Source organism: Homo sapiens, chromosome 12, assembly GCF_000001405.40.
Source record: "Homo sapiens chromosome 12, GRCh38.p14 Primary Assembly".
Taxonomy (NCBI): Eukaryota; Metazoa; Chordata; class Mammalia; order Primates; family Hominidae; genus Homo; species Homo sapiens.
The window spans coordinates 46,083,356-46,091,770 of NC_000012.12; the positions used below are offsets into that span (position 1 = coordinate 46,083,356).

The 8,415-nt window shown below is 43.0% G+C and overlaps 1 annotated feature.

The window, feature by feature from the left end:
* Positions 1,032-2,231: an enhancer, noted in NCBI's record as "BRD4-independent group 4 enhancer chr12:46478170-46479369 (GRCh37/hg19 assembly coordinates)". NCBI's record gives its function as "activates an origin of replication core promoter dependent on BRD2, P300/CBP, MED14 and CDK7 cofactors, and independent of BRD4, by STARR-seq in HCT116 cells {active_cell/tissue: HCT116}" and the evidence as "EXISTENCE:reporter gene assay evidence [ECO:0000049][PMID:35650434]".

Here is an 8,415-nt window from a genome sequence, read left to right on the forward strand (position 1 = left end):
GAGATTACAGGTGTGAGCCACTGTGTAGTAGAGCAGTTTTATTAAAAGAAAAAGATATTGTTTGAATGTTATGATTTGTCACACTAGATTAAAGAGGAGAAAAGAGGCATATTCTATTTCGTAGTAACATAATATATAGGTTGTTTAGGGGCCAAGGGAAAACTTTTCCCCTTCACCCTCTGAAGTTTCACTGAAAAATAAACTAACAAAAGGCAACTGGATTGGAGAAAAGGCATATAAATTTATAAATGTAAATACAGGGAGAACAAAGTGGTTACTCACTCACCAACAGGGATCAGAATCTTATATATTAATACCATCCTAAGGTTATAGAAAGACAGGTAACTAGAATCCTGGCCAAACAGATTATGAGAGGGAGGAGAGGAGGAATTCTGTTGAGGGACAATAAAGGATTACTAAGGAGAATAAATGGATCTGGCAACAAAAATTAACTTGTAAATAGTTCTCTTTGGAATTGGAATGAGGCTGGCAGGCAGACATTTTCTTGGGAAAGGGTCTGTTCAGATGTGGTTATCTTCTTGGTCTTACTAACATGGAGAGGAAGAAAAAAAAGATTGTCTTTTTCGTGGGCCAGGACTTGAGGCAGATAAAGGAATTTCAGCCTGGCTTTGGTAGCATAATGGAGGAGAAGTCAGGGAGATCTTGAGGCCTCTTCTTTAGTTCAGCTTGTCAAAGCACTGTGTTTTGGGATGTTGGCTTTTGGGCCTCAATATAGTGTGAAAGAGTTGTATGATTGTAAAAGGGAATAACTATGGGTATTGTCTAGTCAACTCTTGCCCTACAGAGAGGAAACACAAGTTCTGTGATGATTAAATGGTCTTGAGCTCCTGGCCTCAAGCAATGCTCTCACCTTGGCCTCTCAAAGTGCTGAGATTACAGGTGTGAGCCACCACATCTGACCCTGTGATTGTTAAATGGTTTGTCTCAAGTCTTGTCATATGTTGTTGGTGCAGCCTGATCTCTGTTTATTGAGGAGACAGAAAAGGTGACTGTCATGGGTGTCACTGGCTGGAGCCAGCATTGCAGGCAGTAAAATAATTTACCAAGACAGTTGTAGGTAAAACAAAAAAGCAGATTTATTGGAGGGAAAGTACATTGCAAGGAAGCAATGGGCAGCACAGCAGAGAAGGGGCTTTCTGCAAAGAGGCAGGGGCTGGATTGAAGTTTTATAGGCTATTCACAGAACAAGGACGTGCTGCTGGGGCTATGTGGAGAGCAAGGTAATTGTGCCAGTGGTTTGTTTGTGATTAGCTGTCTCTTGGAATAATTGTTCTCCCCCACCTGGGACCCCTTCCTTGTTGCTGATTACTTATTAAGACTCCACATCCCCCCCACCCCCAAGTCCCAATAGAAAAACAATGACAAATCTTTGGCATTGGGGTGGAAGTTTCATCTTCCAACTACTTCCTGCTGACTGTGGGTGTAACGCTGACTCTACCTATGGTTTTTGGTCTGTCAAGAGACCCTGTGAGTCATTGTCCTGGATTGTGGGACTTAGGATATTAGATCTTGCTGGAGGGACTCATCAAACAGCGGGAGCATGTCAAGGCAAAGCTCGTGTCCAGCTGAATCCAGGGGAGATCATAAAGGTAGCAGGCATCACTGGGGAGAGACTGATCTCATTCACAGCATCACTTGAAAGAAACTGCTGAATTCTAGAAGATAAAATTTTCTTTCTTAAGTCAGTTACCAAAAAGGCAAAGGAAAACCTCTTGCAATGTGACGTTTTTCCTTATTGGAAGCCAATTTAGATAACCTGGAAGTTAAACTCAGCGAAAAAGTGTTTGAATTTAATTAGACACAGCATAAGGAACCAATTTTAGAGAGACTATTGTGTCTTAATTACATACAACATCCCTTTTATAAATTTCCTTTCACAGATTTTCTCATAACTTATGCAGACCATCAATGAATGCTTGGACTTTCCGACTTGTCCTAAACATACCTCTTTTTAAACAACCAGTCATTTTACTTTAGGAAAAGAATTTCCCACACAAGATCCTTTCTCATAGAAAATCTCTTTTTTATAACCTTCCTTACAAAAAACTACCTCTTTACCTTTATAACCCTTGAATTAGACAAAAGTCATTTTTCTTCTGTTAGGAAGTTATGGTTTGTATCACATGTTGCTGTGCAAGTCCTGTGAAAGGGGAGCAGATGAGGAGGTGATCTACATACTGTAGAAGCTATCCCTCCCCCAAGAGATTGCTCGGTTAGATTTCTTGCTAGTGTTTGTCTGAATAAGTGTGGGCTATTTTTAAACCTTTGAGGTAGGACTATCTAGGTTGAAGATATTGGCTAAAAATTTAGGTAGCTTTTCCAGGAGAAACAGGGCTAGTAGAGAGAAAGATGAATTCAGAGCTTGGGTAAATTTTAAGCATGCATCCATCTTGATAATTATATTTTTGCCCCAAAGGGATGTGGGTTATTTAGACATACCAGGGACTGGTGCAAGAATAGTAATTGATTTCTTAAGTAATATAAAGGGGTATTAATTCTTTTTCTTCTGGAGGATGGGGGTGCCATTTGCCCCCGTTACCCAACAGGATTTGGAGAACAGTTGCTCAGAGAAGATTAGTACAGTGTAGGCAGCTCTTGAACCTAAAAGGGAAATGTAAAATTTTACTTGCTGCCTCCAGAGTTGCCCTTGGATTTGTCTTGTTGATGACCATGTCCAATTTGGAAGCCAGTTGGAGCAGAGGGCCCCTTCAGCTCAAGGCCATTGGGTGTTGGGACTCTGTCCCATGGTGTCTTTGACAGTCCTGTTTCTAGTGACCAAGATTGTGACAGAGTGGGCAAGCCACATGCGGCTTTTTTCCATTTATTCCATTGGGGCAGTTTGCCTTCCAGTGGACTGATCTTCTTCACTGATGGCAGTTACCTGGAGGCGTGTCCCTAGGGCAGCCTAGAGGGGGCTGGGGATTTGTAAAACAACCAAGAATTGAGCCTGACTCTTGTCCCTGAGTTTTTCTTTCTCCTTAGCCCTGTCCTTCTTATTCTGCTTCTGGTTATAAGAGACTGAGGGGACTAATTTCAGGATTTCTTGCATAGGAACCATGCTGTATTACATGAGAAAATTAGACATTTCTTTTTGAGAGTTTGAGGGTCAAATTTATCCCAATGCTTTAAAATGCAGCCTGAGGGTGACTCTGAGGGAATGGAAGGACTTTGTCCCATGATGGGACTGATGGGAAAGAACATCCACTAGGGATATGAACCACAGTTTCTCTTGGGGGATCCTGCCAAGTGAAAAGGGTTCCACTCACATCTGCTGAGTGACTCTGAGATGCACTTTCCAAAGGGGCATCCCACCTATTGGAAAGGATCTTCTGGTGCTAGGGCCTTATGGTGGATGAACACTGGGTGAGTGACCCAAGGTCAGTCCCGGTACAAATTATCCTGGGTGGCCAGCCCAGGCACGAGTTCCTCTGGGCGTTCAATCCAAGTACGAGGGGAAGAGGTTGAGGAAAGACTCACTGTCCCAATGCTGTTTTGGATCAGCTGGCTTAAGATGTTTGGAGCAGGTGGCTGGCTGTCTTTATGGGAGAATTTAGAATAAGAAAGAGGGGGTATTAGTTCCCCCAAAACATGTGTGGGTTTGCCCTAGTCAAGCTTCTTCTGCCTATTGTGCTACACATAGGGATTGGGGACTTTTGACCAGAAAGGATAGGAAAGAGCCTTCTTTCCTTCTAAGCAAGGCTGCCAAATCTGTTCACTGCTTGGCCTTCAGCCTATCCCAGGAAGTGCCGTGACCAGTGGCCATCAGTTGCCAGAGGGATGCTAGAGTTTGTTCATGGGAAGACTGAAAAGGAAAGCAAACGCTGAACTCTCACTTGATTGGGCATCAGCAGTCAGAAGTTTTACCATGTGAACCTTCAATTTTCTCTGGGCTTGGACACTGTCCACCGAAAGGCTGGAGTTGGAGGAGAGGAAAGGGAGAGAGTAGGGGAGAAGTCCCAGAGCACTCACCATATAGGCCACCAAAATATCATGGGTGTGACTGCCTGGGGCTGGTGTCATGGGAAAAGAATTTACCAAGACAATTGTAGGTAAAGAAAGGCAGATTTATTAGAGGGAAAGTACATTGCAAAGAAGCAATGGGCAGCACAGCAGAGAAGGGGCTATCTGCAAACAGGCATGGGCTGGAGGAAAGTTTTAGAAGATAGTGCTGCTGGGGCTACATGCAGAGTGAGGTAGTTGTGCCAATGGGCTGTTTATGATTAGCTGTCTCTTGGAACAGTTTTTCTCCCCTACCTGGGACCCCTTCCTTATTGCTTACTGATCAGAACTCCACAGTGACTGCTGGAGCAACTATAGAGGTAGCAGGTGGAAAAATACATTGTTCAAGCTGCGCTGCAGGCTTATGGTTCTATATGAGAGGTATCAGGATTCTGAATGCAGAACAAAGTCCAATATAAAGGAATTGGGAAGATATGTAGTAGCTATCTATGAAGTTTTTTCATTGGTGGAAAAGTTTTTGATTTTTTATTCAACATTTATTGCACATTTACTTTATGCCTTTGGGTGCGGAGGCATCGCAGGCAAATGGGAAGTAAACTGGCCAGAGCTAGGTATGTTAGCAAAACCCCAGGCAGTAGGCTTATCTAAAAGCCAGTACTCCCACTTCTAGGGCAATAAATTACTGAGAACAGAACAGTAGAGATGGCTCAAAGTACCATCTCGGTCATGGGAACTTGGGCTCTTGGGACAAGTTGTGACTCAGGGATCATCATGGAAGCTCAGAGGTCATCAGGAGGACCTTGAATGCTGGGTCTCATAGGCAACAAAGGAGACTCAGGGACCAGGAAACATAAAAGCCAGAACATAAATTACAGCTTCCCTGTAGCAGGGATGCAGACATATGACCTGCTAACCACTAATTAGATGACTCCAAAGGAGACTTCAGTTTGGAAGTGAGCAATCATAGGGAATGAGTTCTGTGTGGCATTTACATTTTGCTGATGAGGTGGCAGCAGCAGATGCAGGGTAGAGTTTGATACCAAAGTAGCAGCAGCAGTGGTTTAAGTGAAGGTGACTCCCTGGCTTTTACTGCCTCATGGCAACAGCAACAGTGATGGTTTTTTTTTTTTTAATAAAGTACAGCCTCAAATCTATTTCTCCAACACTTCCCATACTTTAAAATTTGAGAGGTGCCAGACTATGCAATCCAAAGCAATTGGTTAATCACATATTGGATTTATCATCATAATTTGTACTGAAAGATTTCACATTTTTACATGCTCAGCTCTGGAAAGTAAAAATAGTACAAAGTTATTAGCTAATCTTCAAGGTGAGATAAAGTATCTGTGACATACAAAGTGATCCCAGTATTAGCAGTAAATGTAAACATGATTTGTTTATAATATGAATATTTGTTTGATCTGAGTGCTTCATTCATTCATTTACTGATTCCACAATTCAGGGCTTTGGGCCTGTGTTACCAAGCACTTGCTGAACATGTCATGGGCACTCTGCAAGCAGCACCTCATATCGTCAACTGTCCCACAAGTGAAGTCTTCTCCAGGCATCTCTATTTCTGCCCTTGCATCAGTTTCTCCTAGGCACCCAGGCTTGAAATATTGTAATCAAGTACCCTATTTTTAACCATTTCTTTCCTTCTTTCTTTCTTTCTTTCTTTCTTTCTTTCTTTCTTTCTTTCTTTCTTTCTTTCTTTCTTTCTTTCTCTTTCTTTCTTTCTTTTCTTTCTTCTTTCTTTCTTTCTTTCTTTCTTTCTTTCTTTCTTTCTTTCTTTCTTCTTTCTGTTCTTCTTTCTTTCTTCTTCTTCTTCCTTCCTTCCTTCTCTCCCTCTCTCCTTCCTTCCTTCTTTCTTTCTTTCTTCTTTCCGTTCTTCTTTCTTTCTTCTTCTTCTTCCTTCCTTCCTTCTCTCCCTCTCTCCTTCCTTCCTTCTTTCTTTCTTTCTCTCTTTCTTTCTTTCTCTTTCTTTCTTCTTTTTCTTCCTTGTTTACTTTGTGTTTAACTTCTTAAAAATGAAGCAATAATCTTTGCTCTTTCTTTCCACCAGACACAACAATGTCCCCCTTATCTAATTATATGCTTGCTTTATAATTCAGGGACTGAATCTTAAAACAATCCAGGCACCTACAGAATTCTCCCCACCAGGAGATTACCTGCAGCCTGCAATTAACTTACAACCCAACTGTGCCTTGGATGGCGCCAACCCATTCAGCAGATTTTGCAATAACTCAGGATAAGTCATTGGAGCAAGTTACGCAGACTGGCACATCCTCATTCCTCTTGCATTCCCCTCATACCAAGCTTCCCTTTTGAAGTCCTTGTATTCTGCCCAAAAATTGGCATGGTTTCTTTAAGGCATGAAGCATTGGCCATTTCCCCACTGCTAGCCCTGAAATAAAGTCACTTTCCTTCCACCCCACCTCATCCTTGGTGTTTGAATTTGTAAATAACAAGTAACTGAACGTGCATTTGGTTACGAGTGTTGTTGGCCCACATTGGGAGTGCTGTGCATTCTGAGCAGTCTGAGCCTGCTGGTCTGGTTTCTACTGGATGGGGCAAATTGCCACCTGTGAGCAATAGCTGCTCGTGTCTAGCTGACCCTGTAGCTGAGACTCTAGGGAGTTTCCCTGAAGCTGCTGAGATGCTTTTGTCTTGAGAAACCTCCCTTCTCTTCCTGCTGTGGTGCTGGCTGCCCCTTATGCTTCACTGGTGCCAAGAAAGTGGCAGCTGAGGTAGTTGACAGACTTCAGAATAGGGTAAGTTGGCCAGAGTGCACCTGGCTTTCTTCTGTTTCTTTAAATGCTACTTGGGGTCTGCTCTTGTCAGACTTAGCTGCTGGTAACATCATTTGGGCTTGTATGCTGTTTGTACTTATGGTGTTACCTGAGCTTTGCTGTGTTTATACTCATCTACTTGTGGAGCCATTTGAAATTGAGATGAAGTTCAAGTTGTGGACTCTGTACCCAGCTCCTTGAGTGGGGATATGTTTGAGAGCATGCCACTTGGGATTGTGACTGTGTGAGTGTGTGACATTTATGCTTGGACCCTTAATTATCTTTCTTTATTTTTCTTGCCTGCTCAATTCAGGGATCCAGCCCTGAAGGGGAACAGTTTCTACCATACCCCTGAATGGGTCATCCTTTCTAAAACCCCAAAGTACTCATAACTGAGCTATGTCTAGAAGGAGGGGCCACTGTCCCTCCACAGTATGATGAGGGAATTGGAATGATCACCCCCTCTAAGATCCAACAGGCCACCTGATTTGGACAGGGCAATGCCACAGCTGGAGCAGGGCAATTCCCACTCAGGCTAATTTCTGTGGGTGGTTTGGATGAATATGGGCAGCCTGCTGGACACTATTGGACTTACAGCCCATTTTCAACGTCTGATTTATTGAATTGGAAGAGTTTCAACCCACCTTATAGAGAGGACCCTCTGAAAATGATGGACCTCTTTGAATCTATTTTGCCACCCATCAGCCCACTTGAGCAGATGTATGGGTCCTTTTAAACATGCTCTAACTGCAGATAAAAGGAGACTAGTAATGGAAAAGGCAAATGAGGAATCTTGGTGCCTCTATGAGGGTAATCCAAATAGTACCCCTAATCCCATAGGGGCTATTCCTGGCAAAAACCCTAACTGGGATCTCAAGTGAACTAGGAGTATGGCCTGTCTGGCACATTAGCAGGCACACATCTTGGTTGGACTCAGAAGAGGACTGCTCAAACAAAAGAGTTTAAGCAAAATCCAGTCGTCCAAAAGACAAATGAAGATCCCTCTGAATTTTCAGAGTGTACTTACCAAGCCTTCCACAGATATACTGATATAAACCTGGAAGACTCTGACAATTCAAGACTAGTGAACATAACTTTCATTCAGCAGAACATCCCAGATATAAAGAGAAAGCTAGAAAAATGGGATGCTGCACTGGGAATGACTCATCCCCAGTTGGTGGATGTTACTTTCAAAGTATTCAGTGGCAGTGAAGAAAATAAACAAAAGCCTGGCACCACATGTGGCATAGGCAGGAAAGCCTCCATACTGGAGAAACCAGGCAAGCCTCTGGGTCACAACCAATGTGCCTACTGTATAGAGGAAGGCCATTGGAAAAGATAGCTGCCCAGAAGTAAAGGGGCCAGGTGGACAAAGAAAAGCAGAATCCACCCAAGAAGTCATAGGCAAATAAATGACAGGACAAAGCTGTGGCCCTGACAAAAAATAGGGATGCCTGGAGGCTCCCTTAAATCTCTTGGAACCAATTAAAATTTCCCCACAGGAGCTTCCAGTTATAAATGACAATGGGGAACAAGCTAATCCATTTCCTGGTTGACACAGGTGCTACTCACTCAGTTCTTAACACCCCAGAAGCAAAAAGCACCAAAATAACAGTACCTATAATGGGAGTTGCAGGAGGGATAC